Below are 22,413 nucleotides of genomic sequence, written 5' to 3' on the forward strand. Positions count from 1 at the left end.
GTATTCTCTAAGTCTGTGCCTATTTCATCACTAAGCATGGCTCCAGGGCTAAATTAGCTAAACTACTTATGGAAAAGAGATTCAGAGGAATGAATAAAAGGCAAGGTGTGTCAGGAAAAGAAAGAAGATGTAGGGAAACAAGAGAAAGTAAAGAAAGATTTCTTGGACACGGTTGATCAATCACTGTGTCCCGGTTTCCTGGAAAGACCCTAGAGAAACTCAAATGATGAATTTGCTAACGTGGATGATCACAGATGTTTAGGATAAACCAGTTTCAAAACCATTTTATGTAAACCAATTTAATATTCTTCTGTGGTAGATTGATAAGCTGCTCTATAGCTAAAATAAGTAATAAATATTGCCTATCTTATCATCAATATGACATATGACTGTATTGCAGCAAACTTGCTAGCAAGCTAGGAAAACACAGTCCCAGAGGCCACTGTACTGTGAGGTGGATGCACCATGAATCACGCTCCGGGAGTAGTCCTGGCCACCCAGCTCACAGGTATCTGCAGTAACAGTTTGAAACATGTTATTAAGAGGGTGTCTCTCTCTGGTTAATCCTGCAGTATAAGAAATGACTAACGCCTTGCAGAGTAAAATTAGAATTCTGAATAATCTTGACAAGTTGGAGAAATAATTAGTCATAAACTGATGAAGTCACAGTCAAGTAAGGTCCCAATAGTTTATTTAGAGAGAACACCTTCACAAATACATCAATGGTGAATGAATGCCTGAAATAATACGTTAAGAAAGAACTGTGTGCCCTTTTATGGGGAGCTATAGAAGGAATTTTCATTATAAGCTGTTTAAATACCACAGTCTTGGGAAGCAGACAGACTCGAGTTGAATCATGGTTCTTCCACATCTGAGATGTGCCTTCTTGAACAGGTTCTTACCTCTGCTTCCCCTGGTTTTCTCATCTGTAAAAGAGGAGGTAATAATCTCTACCTTGCACAACCATTGCGAGGATACACGTGAAGAAAAACATTTGTAGCAGACACTATTTGTTGCCTATCCAACATTCATTTCCTCCTTTCTACTGGTTAAGAAAAACTTAAAATTTTTATAGGTGGCTGGATACCCTCCTGGATGGTGACCCTAGCCCAGCTCAGGAGTAAATCCTAATCAGCCCTAGTGTACTATCATGGGAGTCTTCTCTCCACAGACTTCTTGATATATGAAACAATAGAAGTTCTTATGATTAAAATCAGAATTTTTATTGTAGTTATTGCCCCCAAATTCCTCACTGAAAGAGTTGTGAAGTGCTTGATACCTAACTTCTACTCAAAAAAGAGATTATCCATAACTCTCTATTATCGTTTACTTTTCTGTAGCTTTGGGATCTCCTGATCACCTCTTTTTTATGAAAGTTTCTCCCCTTTTCCATTAGATGCCATTGCCTTCTGCTTTTCTTCTCAAATCTTAGGTTGCTGTTTCTCTGTCTTGGAGGACAGCTTCCCTTTCTCAGCCTGTACCTTGAATATGATTATCTATTAGGGGTCCATCCTTCACTTTCTTCTCTCTTGTTGATCTCAGCTACTCTCTGGGCTTGGTGACTCTTAAATAATTATCTCCAGCTCACACCTCTCTTTTCAGCTTCTAGCCATCATTCCAGTGGACTATTGGACATGCCCACATGGGTGTCCTGTCCAACTCAACTCATATTTGTATCATTTCCTCACTCATTCCCACTGCTCTTCCTGCATTCCATTTATTGGGGAATATTACCACATCTCCCCATTGTGTCAAGCCAGAAACCTCCAGTCACCAATTGTTCCTCCTTCTCCCTTACACCCTGCATGCAATCAACTTATTGCCTTAATATTCTCAATTAATATTCATCTATCCTGACCCCTGCATCTTCAATGACACTGCTTTAGTTTACCATTGCTAATCTTCATCTCTCATCTGGATTATTGCAATAACCTCTTTGCCTGAATCTTGCTTTGTAGTTTTCTATTCCATCTTCCAGACTATATGAGTAGGATGACACTTCTAAAACACAAATTTCATCGTCACTTCCCTACTTTAAACCTCCTTGATTTTTTGTAAATGTAAACTTTTTAGCACAGTCTACAAGGCCTTTTATAATTGAATCCAATAGTTGTCACCCTGACAACACCTTGGAGTCACCTAGAGTTATTAAAAATATGCCAATGCCCAGGCCTAACCTCCAGAGATTTTGATTTCATTAATTTCATTTAAGGTATAGGTATTTTTAAAAGCTCTCCAGGTGTCAGTACGAAACTCCTGAATGACCAGCCAACACTGCAGGGCCCTGAGTCTCAGTCAATATTTGGACAGACACCAATTGCTGAGTTTTCTGTCCATGGACAGGAGTGGTCTCAGGCTTAGGACCTTCTTGCTCTGCAGAGATCAGGCACAGTTATCCTCTATGCACTCCAACTCCTGTTTACAAGAAAGTTTACCTCTATTACATGACTTAGAACAGGAATTCTCAAACTTTTTTATGGTAAAGTCCATGGACTTTCCTCAATATTGTTGTCAAATACATAAATGGCGTAAGGTTGCAAAAGAGACAAATTACATTGAAATGCAGTTATCAAATATTAAAATATTTATGCTATAGGAATATATGTCTTTATTAAAGTATTAGATAAATATATGTAGCAGTATATCTAATAACAATTATAGTTTCCAAATAGAGATGAACATCAATGCTATTTCAAGATATCTGTAACAGCTGCAAAATAATACTTTAAAATATGCATAGTGATTAAGTTGGAGATATTCCTAAATACTACAGTAGTTTGTTGCCAATATTTGTAATTGAAGAACAGCAAATTTCAATTAGATGTTAGTGAAATAAAAAGGTCAGTTTTTTCCAAACCAACTCCATGTACATCACCCCTTCCCTTCCTCAAATTTTATCTATGAATCCTGTGGGGCCTCAGATTAAAAAATGATGGTTTAGAGGAAACTGAAGAAGGCTTTTTAAAGGAAAGCAATAAGTTGTGTAGGAAATATCATTTATGATTGCATTTAATATTTATTTTGTTATTTATTATTAACATGTTTATGATGTTCAGTTATACTTTACTGCAGATATTTTTACTAATAAATAGAATGCAGCATTAATTGTTCCTCATCATAAATATTAGTTACATGAATGAATGGACAATTAAGAAGCAAAATTTATGTTTTTAAATCACAAGTCCACCCCATCTACTCCAAACTGTTACCTTAATGAATCAACACCTTGTGCCTCAGTTTCCCTAGATCATAGATGATTAGGGTATTAGTAACAAAGTTAAAATATAAGGGTCAATAATATGGTATTTGGAGTCTGAAGTAAATTGGCTCTAGTTCCACCAGGCATTAGATAGATGGTCAAGGGGAAATTACTTGACTGTTTTTGGGGGGTTTTTTTGCTTTGTTTTTTGAGACAGGTTCTTACTCTGTCACTCAGGCTGGAGTGCAGTGGCATGATCTTGGCTCACTGCAACCTCCGGCTCCTGGGCTCAGGCAATCCTGCCACTTCAGTCTCCCGAGAAGCTGGGACTACAGGTGTGTGCCACCAAGCCTGGCTAATTTTTGTATATTTTTGTAGAGACAGTTTCACCTTGTTGCCCAGGCTGGTCTTGAACTCTTGGGTTCAAGCAATCTGCCCAACTCAGCCTCCCAATCTGCTAGGATTACAGGCATGAGCCACCGCACCCGGCCTTTATTTTCAATTATGTAAAGTAGAAGTAATGATATCATCTTTTGAGGGCTGTTGAGGGGATCATGTGAGATGATGTATATATATAAAGCACTTTTCACAGCATTTGACACATACTAAACATTTCCTTAATGGTTGCTATTACTGCAACTGTAATTATTGTTACGTGTTATCACAGGGCATTTTGCCTATCAAATGAAAGTTGATATGTTTAACCCATAACAATGCAAAAATTATAAGCTCCTTCTCAGCAGAATCTTTAGATAGACCTTGAAGTGATGAGAAAGAATCAAAATCTGTGCCGTGCTTAGGGACCATCAGCCTTAGCTAGAAAATGACACAGAAAACAGCCCTTGCGTCAACAGAGTAAGGCCTGACCTTCGGGAAGAATGGAAAAACAGGTTCTGTTTGCCATGGAAGATCTCTTATCACCTTTTCAGACTGCCTTCGGTTTTTGTGTCCCCTTTCCTACATTCCAAGGCCTCTGGTATCCAGTCTTCTGTCCCTCACAATCTACTGTGCACCTCAAGCTAGGCAGGAGGGGACGGGAATTTGTATTGAGGGGGTCTCTTATTTGCAGGGCACTATTTTGCTCTATAGGTGATGAGTAATCCAAAGCTTGAAAGCTTTTAAATTTTTCTGTGCTTCATTCTTTCAAGGATCTGGTTTTGAGATCATATCTGCCTAGTTTGAACCAATTAATAATACTGAGGGGATGGATACACAATTTTCCATAATGTGATTATTACACATTGCATGCCTGCATCAAAGTATCTCATGTGCCCCATAAATATATATGCCTACTATGTACCCACAAAAAATTTTTAAAAATTAAAAAAATAATCTTACAGAAGTTTTGAGAATGTCTTAGTTTCCAAGTTGCTGCATAAAATATATGTATTATCTTAGCGAAAGCTTTTAATAGCAACACTAATAAGCTATAAAGCTGTACACATGCATCCATGTAGACCTGGCTTGCATCCTGGCTCTGCTATATCCTAGCTGTGTCATCTTGGTCAAGGAGGGTAACCTCTCTTGCTAAGACCATTCTTTACTTATAAAATGGGAATAATAGCTTCTTAGCAATTTGGTTAAAACTATAAAATTTTGTTTATAAATAATAACTATAAATACTTAACATGAAAATTTTTACTATCAATAAAAATAATGGGACTTTCAGTGTATTGGAAGACATTTGATGTGAGATTGGAAGGAATTTCAGATGCTTTTTATCCCTCTTCGTGAGTAGCTGCTTCTTTGTCAATGAGTGGTGTTTCTTCTGTGCTAAAAAGATGAACACACTTCAGTCGTTTCATAAACACAGGGCTCATGAAATTCTAGCCATCATCTCAGAGTGAATGTACACTAAATGGTAAGGAATGCAATGGGTTGAGAAAATTCTACCCAATTAATCTTCATATCCAATTTGGAGGTAGAGCAAAATCTAAAACACAGATGTATAGTCTCCCCACTATACTCTGGCCCCTCAAGAGTGATGCTTGACCTCTTGCTCTTAAAACACTTCTAAACATCTAGGCATCCTGTCCCAGAACAAAAATCAAAGTAAGGCCGCACACGGCCTTGAGAAAGACCAAGGGCTTTCAGCTTTTCTCCCTCTTCAACTTGTAAAGGCTTGAAGAGGCAGTCAGCATAACCTCTGGGCCCTCCTTAAACTTTGGGGCTCTTCAGCCATGGAATCCACATCACTCTTCTGGATGTATGCCCAGAGCAGAGCTCTGGCTTCGAATTCTCTGGATGACAGCCACGATAAAGACATTTGCTACTGCCAGCACATAGAGGGAAACATGGAAAATACAAGAACACAATCAATGTTTCTAAAATACCTCTGCCAGGGGGAATCTTTGTCACCAGCTTCTCAGGAAAAGTGGAATTATGCCCTCCCCTCCCCACTTGGCTAATTATCACCACTGTTGTAGAACTGAAAAGAGCTTCAAGAGATTGAAGGAGAACAGTCTAAAGAGAATCATAGTTCATGAATTTAAGAACAGGGTCTTGATTTGCACTTTATATCCTGTGAGGCTCATGTGTTCCCATGTGCTTAGGAGAAACTTATGCAGAGACCAAGTGTGCCTTCTTATAGCAACCTGTTCCATATTATGTGTGCCTTTTTGTTTTTTTAACTTTTTGGATTTTAGATTCAGAGATTTCATTTATTCATACTCTTATTTCAATTCCTGGCACACTCTTATGTTTGATCCCATAAAGCCCCTTTCTTAGTTTATTTTAGTTTTCCCCTTCATCTCTCATTCCCTATTCCCATTCCTTACCACTTAGTATACATTCCCTCTAAGATGTTTAATGTATGTCTCTTCATACTCTTGATACATACGTATTTGTGAAAGATATCTAGTAGTGTTTTGTGTATATGCTTTTTTTCTTTCTTTTTTTTTTTTTTTGAGACGGAGTCTTGCTTTATCACCCAGGCTGGAGTGCAGTTGCACGATCTCGGCTCACTGCAAGATCTGCCTCCCGGGTTCAAGAGATTCTCCTGCCTCAGTCTCCAGAGTAGCTGGGACTGCAGGCACTCACCACCACGCCCAGCTAATTTTTGTATTTTTAATAGAGACAGGGTTTCACCATATTGGCCAGGCTGGTCTCAAACTCCTGATATTGTGATCCCCCTGTTTTGGCTTCCCAAAGTGCTGGGATTACAGACGTGAGCCACCGCGCCTGGCCATGTATAAGCTTTTAGTTTACATCATACGCAGCGTCTCATTATATTCTTTTATCTCTTTATTCAATGTTATGTTCTGATGTATATTCACTAGTTTATCGCATCTGACAGCTGAATTCTATTTCATCTGCTGATGGACAACTATTGCTCTAACAAATAATGCTGCTGTGTTCATTTTTCTATGTGGTGTCTTACAGGCCTGTGTGAAAATCTCTCAGACACATTCCCAGGAGAGAGACTGCTATATTGTAGGGTACACAGAAACTAATTACTAAAAGCTGCCGGTTTACTTTTTGGAAAGATTGTGCCAGCTCCCACTCCTACCAGCCATTTATGTAGGTTTCTGTTTCCCCCAACTTGTTGAAAACTTGAAGTCGTGTAACTTTTTAACTTTTGCTAATTGAATGAGTATTAAATGGTATATTATTGTTGCTTTGATTTTTATGTCTCTTCTTATTGGTGAGGTTGAGAATCTCTTGATCTAATTGTAGTCCTTCAGATTTCTTCTTTTTTGCATTTCTTATTCACATCCTTCACCCATTTTCCTATTTTTTTCTCTAATTGTTAGTAGGAATTGCTTTTATAATCTAAGTATTAATCTCATTTATTTTAAACTTTAAAAATATTTTCCCCTAGTATGGTACACATCTGTTAACACTGTCAATTGTGCCTGTGTTGAACAAAAATCTTTAATGTCTTTGTAGTCAGATCAACAATTTTTGCCTTATAGTCTGTGCTTCTGTTCAATCATTGTGGAAGACAGTGTGGTGATTCCTCAAGGATCTAGAACTAAGAATACCATTTGACCTAGCAATCCCCTTACTGAGTATATACCCAAAGGATTATAAATCATTCTACTATAAAGACATATGCACACATATATTTATTGCAGCACTGTTCAAAATAGCAATAGCATTCACTGTTCACAAAACTTGGAACCCAAATGCCCATCAATGATAGACCGGATATAGAAAATGTGGCACATATACACCATGGAATACTATGCAGCCATAAAAAAGGATGAGTTCCTGTCCTTTGCAGGGACATGGATGACACTGGAAACCATTATTCTCAGCAAACTAACACAAGAACAGAAAACCAAACACCACATGCTCTCACTCGTAAGTGGGAGCTGAACAATGAGAACACATGGACGTGGGGATGGGGGCATCACACACCAGGGCCTGTTGGGGGGGCTACTGGGGGAGGGATAGCATTAGGAGAAATACCTAATGTAGATGACAGTTTGATGGGTGCAGCAAACCACTATGGCACGTGTAAACCTATGTAACAAACCTGCACATTCTGCACATGTACCCCAGAACTTAAAGTATTTAAAAAAAAAAAAAAGGGCTGGGTGCAGTGGCTTATGCCTGTAATCCCAGCACTTTGGGAGGCCAAGGCAGGAAGATTACAAAGTCAGGAGATCAAGACCATCCTGGCTAACACAGTGAAACCCGTCTCTACTAAAAATACTAAAATTAGCCAGGCATGGTGGCGGGCGCCTGTAGTCCCAGCTAGTTGGGAGGCTGAGGCAGGAGAATGGCATGAACCCGGGAGGCAGAGCTTGCAGTGAGCCAAGATCATGCCACTGCACTCCAGCCCGGGTGACAGCAAGACTCCGTCTCAAAATAAAAAAAAAGTGAATTGTCACAAAGTCACACAGATAGTAAGAGACTGAGAAAAGACCAGGTATTTTTGGAGCTAAAGCTTTGGCCAGGCCTTCCACACTGGTGGTACTAAAAGTGTAGGCCTCAGACCTGTTCACCATAGGCTAGGTAAAGTCTGTATTATTTATGTATACAGAAGCTTTCAATAAAAAATGAAAAACATGACCTTTTCAATTAAAAAGTGACAGTCTTAATATTTTTACCTATGCTGTTTGCTCTGATTATATTTATTTAATGCTAATGTAATGTAACATCCAACAGAAGTATGTAATAAATATAGAATAAATATATTTATATTAATTATAATAAAAATTTTAAATGATCTCTAGTTATAAGTGTGAAATTGGGGGCTGGTATCTTGCATGTCTGATTTTTATTTATTTTTTGATAATTATTTTTATTGTATTTTATGAAAGTAGTGGTGGGTGACATTTTGAAAATTAAAAAAAAAAGGTTCTTTACCAATGATAATTGAGAAGCACAGATCTAGGCTACATGTCCTTTCTCTATAAAGGTATCTCTTGCTGGCTTAGGCGCCTGAAGATCTGAAGATGCAAACAGATAAAAAAAGTTATGAATCAGTATATTAGCATGCTCAGTTGTCTCAATCATTTTAAGTAGGTGATTTAGTGAGAGGCAGCTGAGCAAGCTCTTTCTCGCCAAAAAAATTAAAAGCCTCAGAATGGTTCGTTACAGTGTCCCCACCCAGCCCTCTCTGCTACTTTATACCTCAATGGCCCATAGGCCTAAAAGGCAAGAATCTACTGCTGGCTCTGGAAATACCAAGCCCAATACCTGAGCTCTGAGCTAAGGAAAAGTTGCTACCAATCTTGAAATTCAACTCTCTCCCGTTGGGAAAAACAAACTATTGAGCTTGAGTATGACAGTATCTGGACATTAATTATGAGATTGTTGGCAATGTTAATGAAACTATCTTATTTAGAAACTTAAGTACATTGTTTGAACATAGATTGAAGTATTTAAGCCATCAGAACAGCTGATTTGTATAGCAATATTGAGATACATCATCAAATCTGAGAGGAAATATGTAATATTTGTAGGGAACTACAGAATATAAAAAAAAGTAAGATCAAAACCCATATCTCAGTAAAAGTTGCATAGGGTAGTCTTCTGACAGATCATGTGATGTTGTGATAGAGCAATCCAATGAATTTACAATTTAAAAAATCATCTGGCTATGTTTTTGAGTATGTAATGTTACCATGTTTCAAACACAATTATTAGTACAGCTTGGAGCTAGTTAGCTTTTACATTTGGATTTTAACCTCCTTGTGTGTCACTCATATCAAGATTTTTTACAGTAGCCCTATTTAGCTCACGGAAAAAAAATGGAAAAATCCAAATATTTAACAGTAGGAGAATATTTAGCAAGCCAGCTTTATAAATGTAATGAAATACTGTAAAATCTTTTATAATAAGTAAGCAGAATATATCAATACATAACAATGTCTCTACAAAAAATATTGAGTATAAATCACAAAATAGAGAAATAGAATACATGTACAAATCACAGCTACATAAAAATATGCTCGTGAGTTCAGAAAAATTATTAGAATGCAGCCAGGTAGAATTTATTGTGTATTTTTTAATCTATAAAGATATGATAAAAGAAATTGAAAAGCACATGTTTATACTGCAATTTTGAGAAAATCATACCAATGCATAGACAATTTATGTAAATTTAGAAACTTTCAGAACTCTCAGATAGTGGCAATAGGTAGCACAGAAAAATAAAAGAAAGTGGGTGTTGCAAAGAGCCATCTGGAGCAGGGCTCAGCAAACCATGGCCTGGGAAAATCCCGCTTGTTGCTTGCTTTCATAAATAAAGGCTTTTTAGAACATAGGCACACCCATTTGTTTATGCACTATCTGTGACTGCTTTCAAGGTACAAGGGCAAAGTTGAGTATTTGCAACAGAGACCATTTGGCCTGCAAAACCTAAAATATTTACTGTGTGGTTCATTACAGAAAAAGTGCCAATTCCCAATCTAAATTATGACTTGAGATGAATTAGAATCCATTCTCATTTGTGGGATTTCCATTTCAGTAACATATTTGGGAAAGACCCAAACTCCTTCAAATTATGTAAGTCTAAGCCTGCAAGTACAACTGATGGATTACAGGCTCAAGAGGTTTTGGGAAACGACCATGTCACTATTTTCAGAGTTAAGAAATGTCAGAGCACAGATTTTTATTTCTAAGCAAAACAGTCATCCATAAGGATACCAGAGCTATGTGACTTGAATGTGGAGTAGAAATGAACACAGACTGGGTCACCTGGGTCCCTCAGGGATTCTTTTGGAGCTCTCTTCTTTGCCAAGATATTATGGAGGAAGCTGTTTGTCCCTTCATAGCACCATACAGTGCTTTTATGGCAGCATCAAATTAAAAAAAGAAAAGATTGATCTATAAATTTCCTGAAGGTGTCAGAACAAGAATGAATCTTGGGGGACACTAATAAGCAATCAGCAGGGAGAACTGCACGTTCCACTTCTGGTGACTCTGGAATGCCCCTGCCCGTACTCGCAGGCTTTCTGTTTCTTCTGCTGCATCACCCAAGTTCTCCACACCTTCTCCCTTCATTTTCCATGGAAAGCTTATTTTCTGTCTGTGGCTGCGGGCAAGTGGATTGTTCCAAAATTGATTTATACTTTGTATCTTAGAATAGACCAGGAGAAACTTCATACTTGACTTTGTCCTACAATCATAAAAAATGTATCAGCCTGCTTCCAGAACAACAATCAACTCTGTTTTGAGGTTGCCTCTGTGGATACAATTTTAATCTTTTCTGGGAGAAATACAATGTATCAGTTCAATACCTGGAGAAGAAAATTAGTAGTTTTTAGTAGTTTCTGGAGTGAGATGAAAGGTACTTTCTGAACTCTTCTTTTTCTCTGATCACCCCTCCACGGGATCGCAGGTAAAATCATATTTGTAACAAGACAGTTTTCTAGCATACTTACTACATACTTAGTATACATTAGAATACAGAATACTTACTAAACAGACATTCATGCACTCACTTACTGAGATTGAATGGCCCCATAACATGTGCCACTGAAGACGAGAGGAAGAGATCTTTGTAGCGTGGCTTTGGAGTGGGCCTGGAGGTCCTGCTAAGTCAGTGAAGATTGTCTTGACGTCCCTTTCTGCCTTTTCTGTGCTGTCCTTTTCTTCTTATCCTCCTTCATCAATTTCTTCCTAAAAGCATCTCAACCCAGTAGCTACAGTGATCATCTAAATTCTGGGACTGAAGAATGTTTTCTGATTATGTATGCTAAAGTATCAGTGACTCGGGTATGATACTTCCTAAGGATATTTATATTGATAAGGGAAGATAAGAATCGAGAGGAGAGAGCAACGCTTTACTGAACTGAGTGTATTTCTAATAGTTGCATTTTTAACACGATGGTGCCTCTTGGGAAAGATACTTTTATTTTATGATTGTGAGGAGAGAGGGCTATTAACTGTCCCTCAGATCACACTACACAAATACTCTTAACTCCTCTTCTTCCCCTCCCTTTCTGTGTCCACCTTCCCTAGCTGCTAAAAGCACTTACTCAAGAGCCCACAGGGAGACTGTGGTGCAAGATCCAGCTCTCCGCACTCCAAGCATGCAGATTTCAAACTCCACAAATGCTGGAACAGCAAATGCAAGCCAAGACAGCTCAGCCAGCTGGTGTGAGGTCAGGGCTCTGCTTTGCTTTGTCCACCCACACCTTCTCTCTGTAGAGAGACAGAAAGAGTCTGGGATAACTATTGGCAGAATGGATCAGAGGTCATCACTGAGCAGATAATGCTCAAGAGGGAAACCAGTGTAAGGGGCTGGGAGCTGAGGGCTGCAGAGTGAAAGCATGCTAGAGAAAGGGTGATGAGAGTCAGAACTGGTCTTGGACCAGATCCTGCAATGAAATTATTTTGGGGCACCCTTCCCATTAAACTTTATTGTACACCCAAGCTGGCAATTCCTCCTTAGTGTCACCACTTACCTGCCCTGCCCTGGCCCACACTTTTCTCATCCTCTGCCTTACAAAAATTCCAGCTCTTGAAAACTTTCCACTCTCTCTTTTTTCTTTCTCTTTCTCAGATCCCACCATTCTATTTTTCTGCGAAAAAATAATCTGTAGAAAAGTTTTCATGAGTAATAACAAATTAATTCATTGACTTTTTAAAAGGAGATAAAGGTAGAATTTCAAAGGAAGATCCATTAGCTCTCCACCAATGTGTGCCTAACATAAGCCCTGACCCTAAGCCAATCTTGCTTTGATTATCCCTGTGTCTTCCTCTTGAGGATCATTTTAGGGATTAAAACTATTTAGTACTAGAGAAGCTATAAATTGCCTTCGTGTACGTTTATATGGCATTTGCAAATGCCTATAGATACTGAATTTTAAATTTATGAATAACATTTGGATAAAATATATTTTTAGTAACTTTAAGCTGATATATATATGTGTATATATATATGGCGCTCTCTCTATATATAAGCTGATGTATATTTAAATATATAAGTATGTGTATTTAAGCTGATATATATGTGTGTATATATAATATATAATATATTAATTAACATTTTGGGAGGTTCTGGATCCTGATCCAGGTTCTCTTAAGTATACAGGTATGCAGATTAGTTTGGAACAGGAGTAGGGAAATACACAAGGAGAAAGAATCAGTGGATTGGCTGCATTTTACCAAAAAAGTCTCCTGGCCCAAGTTTGAGGGAATCAATTGTATCATTTGCTGTTACATAATAGGGATGGATTTCTGGACAAACTCCATAATAACTGTTTCTTTTCTCTTTGTTACCATTATTCTCTTGGCAGCAACTACCATAATTGTGGGGTGTTTTCCCATGAAGAAGTGAACCTAGCAATTGAGAAGACATTGAGTGAAAATCTGTTTTTCTCTTCCAACAGTGGGAAGAGCTTTCATGTGGGTTAACGTTAACCATGAATCTCGTTCCTATACAAAATATTCACACTCGTACCCATTGAGGGGGATGTTGTAAGCTCTTTTTAGATTTGTTTGTTTAGGTCAGGAGTGGACCAAGCAGTTATGTGAAGGAGGAGAAAAAGCTAGACAATAACGTATTGAGCTTGTTTTATAATAATTATTATAAGGGTCATATAAATCTGCATGAATATAAACATATAACCCCCCCAAAAGTAATAGAACCAGTAGGTGGCTGAGTAGGGCCTTATGACAGTATCTTCTGACCCTTTCTACTCTATTCCATTGTAAGGAATGGTTTGTGGGCCATTTTTCCTCAGCCTTTGGGCTGGGACACACCAGGTCTCCTGGTTCATCGCACAGTCAGATAACTAGTTCCTTTTAGTGCAGTGGGAAGCAAGGGGGATGTTAGCAAGTTAGACAGTGCGCTTAACATAATTGGAAAATATCACTAGAATAAAAGCAACCTTTGTTAATTTTTCCACATGACCTACAATTTCTGATTGTTATTCTGCCTCTTCTCCCATTTTGACCTACAGAATTGTCCTCTCACTGTGACATCCAGTCAACACTGGCCTTCATTCTACGCCTGCTGCCCTGATGATTGCACGTTAATGAAGCACAAAGAGGAGTTATTACTGTCCATTTATTTTCCATCCCCACAGATAGTAGTAGGACCAGCCTGTCCTCTTCTTAGTAGGTGGAGAAAAAGGCTTATTAAATGTCAAAAATATTTTGAGTACTTCTTGGACAGCTTCAGGAGTCAAACCACCTGCAAAGAATCATCAGGCCTGCCTCCATTGAAAGCTGTCTATTGGGAAGGGACTCTGTCACCCACTTGTGGAACTCATTGAGTTCTGTCATGTGGCTTCTTCACCAAAAACATGCCTTATGATTCCTCATTAGCACAGCTTCTCTTTCTAAAGCTATTTCCTTTGATGTAGTGCCCCCCCCCCCAACTATCTACATCTCATTTCAATTTTACAGCCTCTATTCTCTGTCCTTGTTTGCATAGCAGCAAAGGAAATCTTAATTGCTTTGTATTTATAGTCAGAGTCTAAACTGTTGGATTAATTCATGTATCAATTCTGAAATTCATTAAATAAATATTGATTAAAAGAACACTTTTAATATACACTGTTATAAGGATATACACTGTTATAAGGATATACACTGTTATAAGGATACAACAGTTGAGTAAGACACTTTGGAAATAGATAATGGTGATGAACACACAATGCTGTGAATGTAATTAATGCCACTGAATTGTGTATTTTAAAGTGGGCACTATGGAGAATAATATGAAGGTTTTTCAAAAAAACTACAACTAGAATGGCCATGTCATTCAACAATCTCACTACTGGGAATTTATCCAAAGAAAAGGAAATTATTATTTCAAAGAAACATCTGCACTCTCATGTTTATTGCAGCACTATTAATAATAGCCAAGATATGGAACCAGCCTAGGTGTCCAACAACAAATGAATGGATAAAGAAAATATGGCATATATACACAGTGGAATACCATTCCGCCACAAAAAGGAATAAAATCCTGTCATTCATGGCAATATGGATATAACTGGATGACATTTTGTTAAGTAAAATAAGGCAGGTATAGAAAGTTAAACTCCTCACGTTCTTTCATATGTGAAAGCTAAAAGAAGTTAATCATGGAAATGAAAAGTAGAATGCAGGATACTAGAGGCCGGGAAGGGTAGGTGGAAGAGGGAGTTAGGGAGAAATGTGTTAAAGGATACAAAGTTACAGCCACATAGGAGGAATAGGTTCTAGTGTCCTATACCAGTATAGGATGACTATAGTTAATAACAATACATTATAAGGTTTCAAATAGCAAGAAGGAAGATATTGAATGCTCCCAACACAGAGAAATGACAAATGTTTGAGATGATGGGCGTGTTAATTACCCTGATCTGATCACTATTATACATTATACATATCAAAACATCACTATGTACCCCATGAATATGTACAATTATTATTTGTCAATTAAAAGAATTAAGAAGTTTATGTTCCATATATTTACTGCAATAAGAAAAATGCTTTACCAAAAAAAGCAATGAATAAGACAGTCCTGGTCTTCACAGTGCCCAAAGTCTAGTAAGAAAGACAGACCTATGAAATAAAGTATTGTTGGTGAGAATATAGAAAGATGTAAAGGACACGGTGAATGCAAAGGAGGATACTGTGAGCTAAATTCACCTTTTTATTTTATTTGTCTTTGTTTTGCTTTTTAGTTAGTGGCATCTGTTAGAGACAGTTTCTTGAAGTGAGGACTCAAAGATGAGCAATTCTCGAGAAACCAGAGGCCCAAGCTCCCTGAAACACTGGATGCTGTGATGCAGGCAATAACATTTGAATGACAGTAGAAACCTTGGGTAGTTTAGTCCTAAATTCAGTACTTCTTTCTACCATCATTAATTTGTCCTACCCAGGACAGAGACTAGGGACTAGTGAGACCCCTATTTCATAAATAAATAAATAAAATTTGTAAAAAAGAGACAGAGGCATCTAGGGTGCAAAATTTAAGGAGGCATTCCCTCTAAGGGACAGGCTGACTTGCATGACCTTGAAAGTGAGCACCTCCTTTAATAATACCCTTATGATCATCATGGTCCATAGTATCCTTCCTGCAGTTGCCTGTTTCCTTGCCTGCCTCCCTATATGAACTATAAATTGTGCCATGCGCATCTTTTTATCTACTGGGGCTAGAACAAAGTATGGCACATAGAAAACACCCAAGGAATATTAGTTTGATTTGGGAAACATTTTTAAAATAAAGAAATGCATGGCCACAATCCACTATATCCCCTAGGAACCAAGCTCTTCAGACTCTCTTCTCCTTGGCTTCCATCTCTGTCCTGTCAAGCTGAAGTTTGTTCAGGGTTCATGTTCTCTGAAGGCTTCCAAGTAGATACTGTGTCAGTGCCTCTGGAACCCTTCTACTCACCTTTTATCAGGTTTTTTTCCTCCCTGTGATTGATTTTGAATAGTTGCTCTATCTTCAAGTCCACTGTCAAATCCACCATAAATTCCATTCAGATAAATTCTCATTTTAAATATTGTATTTTTTTTATCTCTAGAAGCTCCATTGGTTCTATTTGTATCTTCTATTTCTTCACTACGTTTGCATTTTTCTTTACATTCTTGGGCACACGGAATATACTTATAGAAACAATTTCAATGTCCTTGTTCATTAAGTTCATCATCTCTGTTATTTCTGGGTATCTTTCAACTAATCGATGTTTCTCCTAGCCGTGGGTCACATTTTCTTACTTCTTATGGCTGAAAGTGGAAGTCAATCCTCACTGTTTTTTTCATACACATTTTCAACCTTGTTCTATTAAATTAAACATGACTTTCCCTTGATGACAGAGCTTGACAGAACTTCCCTCTCATCTTCACCCGATGGATCATTTTCTCAATATCTTCCTCTCCCAGGACCAGGAGGAGGTGTTAGAAGTGACTTTATCACACTGTTGTTTCTTAGTAATTATTCACCTGAATGTTTTGTTTTGACACACCCAGAATGGACTTCCACTACATAGTCCTTTTCTCTATGATGTATCTCTACACCTCCAGGAGTCTCTATCTTCCTTTTTAGAAGTTCTTAGCGTTGAGTTTACAGTTTCTTTGTCCTATATCCTATTTCCTTTCCTATTTCCTCAAACTATCTTGAGTCTTACTTCAAGCAGAAAGTCAAACCAAGTATAAGTTTCCTCAACTCTGTTCATCTCCAAATTTCATTTCTCTGTACATTTGCTAATATTTTCTTCCCTCCCCTGTCTCCTTGTGGAATGTGACCACTCTTGGGAATAACCTTATTCCCTCCTTCTATGCACTTGAGTATATCCCCATGGATTCTCCTAAGCATTGCTCCTACAAACATGCTCCTTCTTTTTCCTTCTACTTGCCCATGGATAATGAATCCCTCAAACAGATGTATGCTTTGTTCTTGGTATATTAATAATAGCCATCATAAAATGTGTCTTGATTCATGCCTTATACTTTCTTAGGTGCTTTTCCTCTTTTCTCTCTTGTACTGGGTATATCTTTTATTCCAGAAAGCTAATTTTGATAATTCCATTTCCAGCGGTGGTATACCAGCTTATTGGGCCAATCTTCCCATCAAGCACTAGTAGAAAATCTGGACAAAATACATTTTAAAAAGTCTGTTTGAAGGCTTTGGAGAACAATAAAGGACTTGATAGGCCAACATCCTGGAAATAAGGGATCCTTGAGAAGTGAGTCCAATACCAAATGCCTCTTTTCCCTGCTGGCATCTGCTGACTCTAAAGAAATAGCAGAGAGACTAAGGAGCAGCTAGAGTTCAGAGCCCACTTAGAAGGAGGGGCTCTGATAAATGTACTACAGAATTTTAGCTGGACTTCTCGAGACCAGATCAGATCTCACAAAGATTGAAATATACCTTCAAGTCACCTCAACTCAGGATTGAATTAACTGCTTGGCAGTTTAACTGCTTGGCAGAAGTAAGCATGGACCCTCTCTTGGAAGAGATAACATCACCTGAAGTCTAGCCACTTGTCACTATTCTCACTGCCACTCTCTAGTGGGTCCACATCTCCCATCCCCTGGACTAAGGCAAAAGCCTAACAATGATCTCCACATTTACCATCCTGCCATCCTGATGTTCTTTTGTTCACTCAATACAGCATCTAGTGTGTTCTTTCTAAAACACACAAAAAAACCTCTTCTCAAATTCTTTCCTAAAGTTAATTAGCTTTTATGAAGCAATATAGAACCTAATAGAATAGAGCCTCCAATTTTTTTAAATGGTTGACAGTGGTATCCATGATCGGACTCCCGCCCGTCTTTCTGCCCCATCTCTTTTCTTTTCCCTTGGCTCTCTCTTATGCAAACATAGTGAACTTGAAAGAAAAGTCTGTCTCGAACCTCTGGATGTTCCCACTTGCTCTCCTTCTGCAGAGAACATTCTCACTTTCTGAATCCTCTTGTTATTAACCCCTACTAACTCTTCACACCTCCACCTGGCATTGACCTTCTCATTCTTGTACTAGGTTACGGTTTCCTGCTGTGTGTCTCACAGATCTCTGTACCTCTTCACTTGTAACACTCATTTTATTGTTTTTGCTTGTTTATTCATTTTTCTTTTAAAATCCATTGAACATCATGGTTTTCTTTCACTTTTTTATTTTTTAATATCTGTCTTACCTACCAGATACAGCTTCTGTGGTGGCAGAAGGACCAGCTACATAATTTGCAGGACCCAGTAGGAGGTAAAAATGGGGGGCCATATGCTCTAAAATGATTAAGAGTTTCAAGAAAGTGAAAGCAGCATTAAACCAATCATATTCCACCTGTTTCAAGCAGAGGTTCCTGTGTGAATGCACATTTTATACCCATGAAACTGGCCTGTGGTGCAGGCAGAAATGTTAAGGAGGTAGTGGGGTGTGGATATCCAGAAAAGGTTGAAGTTTTTCAGAGTCGCTGAGAGCAATTCCTTCTTTCTCATATTCACTCGATAGATCTTTATTTGGTGTTTTTAAGTGTCAGGCACAGTACTAGCTGCTGGGGTTCGAGATCTATTTGACATTTCTGCCTACACCCTTTAGTGAGAAAACTGAGGCAATAAATTCATAATCCCATATATGTACCCATTACTTTCTTTATTCCTTCCCATCCTATGGAAGGGGTTTCATGCCTAGCATGCCAGACCAATTCCCTGTGGTTTGGGTCCCATGCTTTCCTATGTCCCATGCTTTCCCATTTCCTTCTTCTATGTCCTCAAACTTTTCAATGGGTGTTTTTCTTTTGGCATAAAAACATTTCATATCTTTCCAATCTTAAAAAATGAATAAAAACAAAGAAAACTTTCTTTGACCACCATGTCCTTCTATAGCTACCATCCTATGACTCCACATCACTTCACAGACAAGTGTCCCAAGAGTAATCTACCCTACTTTCACACAGCAATGCCTCTCACTACATACAAGCTTTAACACACTACAGTCAAGTCCTACCCCTCCTCCTTTCATTCCATGATGCATTTTGGCAGAAGTCAGCAAGTTTTGCTAAATTCAGCATATGATTTTGGGTTCTTATCTTATTTCATTTAGGCATAGTCACTTGCTTCCTCCTGCCTGAAGTTCTATCTTTCTTTGACTTCTGAGAACAACATTTCATTGTGTTTTTCCTTCCTTTCTCTCAAATCCAATTTTCTCTGCCTATCTCCTTTCACTTCAACTATTATTTCCACATTAATGAGTCCCCTTCTTTTCCCCTCCCCTCTCTTTCTTTCTCTTCCTTCCTTTTCCTTCTCTTTTCTTAGCTTCCCTTCCAATCCACAGGTGTTAATTCCAGGAGCACTCCCTCATAAACCTCCTGCATACTAATCTATGCCTCAGAGTCTGTTTCCTGGGGAACCCAGTCTGCAATAGTCATCCTAAATATCTCAATGTCCTATGTTCCCCTCATCCAGTTAAATACCAAGCTATAGATATCAAGCCTTATAGTATCTATAAATCTATTTTTTCCTTAATAAATTTGTTTTCTTCTGTTACTCTCTCTGACACTACTAGATTTAGACTCTCATTAATTCTCAATGGCACTATTTCCACCTGTTCTCCTTGCCTCTGATCTGTCTCTTTCCCAATTTATCACTCAAGGCTACTCCCAGCAGGATTTTTCCAGAATATAGATGCAATCTAGCAAATTATTCACTTCATAAGGACTTTCAGTGGCTTTGATGTCTGTCATTCATTTACACATCCAGTCAGTCAACACTTACTGAATATTCACAATGTTCCAGGCACTGTAATAAGTTCTGGGGATACAAAGTTAATGAAACAGAATCTCTGTCCTCATGGAGCTTATAGCAAAGGGGATGTTATCAACCAAGATGTGTAAGGTAAAGAAGCAGGAGCACAGAAGACTAACAATCTGGTGAAGAAAAAAGACATGAATCAAGTAATCAATTATTTAGGTAAATGCCAATAACATCTGTGATAAGTTCCACCAAAAAAGGTCCATTGTGCAATAAGCACTTACAAGAAGGTTTGACACAATCACAGGGGCAAGAGAGGAATTCCAAAAGAAATGGCTTGGGGATAAAATTTAAATGCTTCTTCATATTCTGATCCCAATCTCCCTTTATAGGTTTATCTTCCAAAAATTCACCTCATCTCACCTATGACATCCACATACCCTCCAGGCAAGTTGTATAGAGACTTCTGCATGTTCACGTCATCAGCCTTGTTTATAATGCTCCCTGTGCTGGAATTTCCTCTCTTACCTTGTTAATGAAGCTATCTCCTACTCATTCGATAAAAATCGGTGTAGTGATTACATTCTCTAGGAAACATTTCCTAATACCTCAGTATGATTTTGATGTTTCTCTGTTGTTCCTTAGCAATATACTTTCTTAATATTCATATCTGTAGCAATTTTAACATGACACTTAATGTTATGTATCACAACCTTCAACTTATTTTAAGTTTCTTGAGAAACAGGATCATGTTTGTCTTTACTATCTCCATGCCTAACATGGACATGGGACATGACACAACATAGCATAAAATTTATGACAAATAAATAAAATGAAGGAATGAAAGAATGAATAGAGTTTGCATGCATATAAGACCTCACATGTCTCTTTATAAGCATAATCTGAAACGTAACACTAAATTATTTCTACATCAAGTACAATAAATAAAGACTTTTAAATAAGCAGGTTTCAGGCATCCTTTAAGCTTTTAACTGAGAAGTGACTGTGTAGTATTAGATTCAGTTTAGTCATTTAGATGAGCTACTAAAAAAGATGAGCTAGCGGTTTTCCAGTCTGACTGTCTTGGTCACCTTATCTGATGGTTTATTTGATGATTCTCTTCATTTCCAGGCAGTGTATCAGCCAGCAGTTAATCCAGGGATTTACTGCGATAGAGTCAGAGTTCAAATACTGTATTCATGTTTCCATGTTCTATGGAGCACAGCTTAATGGGATGTCAGCTGTTACAGTCCATCCACAAAATGATGTTTATTCCAAGTGAAAAAGAAAGATAGTCTATGTAACACTTGGTTTTTAGTTAGAAAGGAATTGGAAATAAACAGAATTTTCTAAATCAAATTGTCAAACTAATGTAAATAAAATAACTCACTCTGAATGGAATTCACTCAACAATTTTGAAGGAATTCAAAGGTGACACTGCAAAACTATGGCTATTCTCCAATATTCATTACCAGTGGCTACTACAGCAGAAGATCGTCAACATAGCTCCCATCTTTGGGCTATCTTCCAGCAAGAGCCTGAATAGTTGTCTCACTTTCATATTGAGCAAGGACATGGAATCTCTGACAAACGAGGAAGACTTGGAACACTTAAGCAAGCATAACCTCCTGAGAGAGTAAGTCTGTTTTCTGTCCAGGAAAATCTTGGATAGCTAATTTACTTGAACTTTTTTTGGATGATAAATTCAAAAACAGAAACAGAATAACCAAAAGGGCTATTATTATCAAACTTTATAAACAAAGCACTTTTACAGTTTTAAATTTTAAATTCTAAATCATTGATTTATCATATTAAATTAGTTGTAAGCTATTTAATTTAATCCAATAATTTATTAAATTATTATTTAATCCTAAATTAAATTTAATCCTAAATTAAAACAATTGGTATTGTTGGAGGAGCTTAGGGAAAGTGGACAATTACACAATGTTTAAAGGTTGCACTCCTCTTCTTTGGTCCAATGGTAAGCAAAGATCTCCACCTGGATGTTCCAAAAACATCTTAACTCCACATGTCCTCAGGTAGCTCATTATCTTCCTCTCCAAACCTGTTCTTCCTTCTTGCTATAAAATGTTGGTTAGTAGTGCCTCTATTTTATCCACCAACATAAAAAAAAATCACCCAAAATCTTTATTTTGGAGAGAAATATCTTGCTAAACCATAAGTCTAATCATATCTCTTCCCTAATTAAACTTTTTAGTAGTTGTTCATTGTTGATAGAATAAAGTCCAAATTCTTTAGTGTGGCATAAAAGGGTCTTCAACATTTGAGCTCCCTCTTTCCAGCCACATCTGCTGCCAGGCTTCTCCAGTGTTAAAATGTTGTTTTTAAAATAAACTTGGTATGTTCTTTTTTCCTTCCAAAATTTTATACATGTGGCTTCCTCTGCCCAGCGTGACCTTTATCCCTTTCTCCTACTAACAAATTCTCATCATCTTTCAAAATCCAGTTAAGATATTAACTCTTCCATTAAGCCTTCTCTGCCACAATATTAACTTCAATGATCCTTAAGCAAAACCTTTCTTCTCTAGCTAAATACATAGAACTATAACTCAAATATTGGTCTAAAATTAAAATGCTAATGGGAGACTTAAAAGTGACAGAATTG

The 22,413-nt window shown here is 37.7% G+C and overlaps 1 long non-coding RNA gene across 1 annotated transcript; it reads right to left on the reverse strand.

Moving 5' to 3' along the window:
• Nucleotides 1–674: 674 nt before the first annotated feature.
• LOC124904452 (uncharacterized) lies at nucleotides 675–11,929 on the reverse strand. Its single transcript, XR_007066725.1, has 2 exons — nucleotides 11,635–11,929; nucleotides 675–926 (listed from the first exon to the last, which is right to left on the reverse strand). It is a non-coding gene; the product is annotated as an uncharacterized LOC124904452 (long non-coding RNA).
• Nucleotides 11,930–22,413: the final 10,484 nt, after the last annotated feature.

This window comes from Homo sapiens, chromosome 1, assembly GCF_000001405.40.
Source record: "Homo sapiens chromosome 1, GRCh38.p14 Primary Assembly".
Classification (NCBI taxonomy): domain Eukaryota; kingdom Metazoa; phylum Chordata; class Mammalia; order Primates; family Hominidae; genus Homo; species Homo sapiens.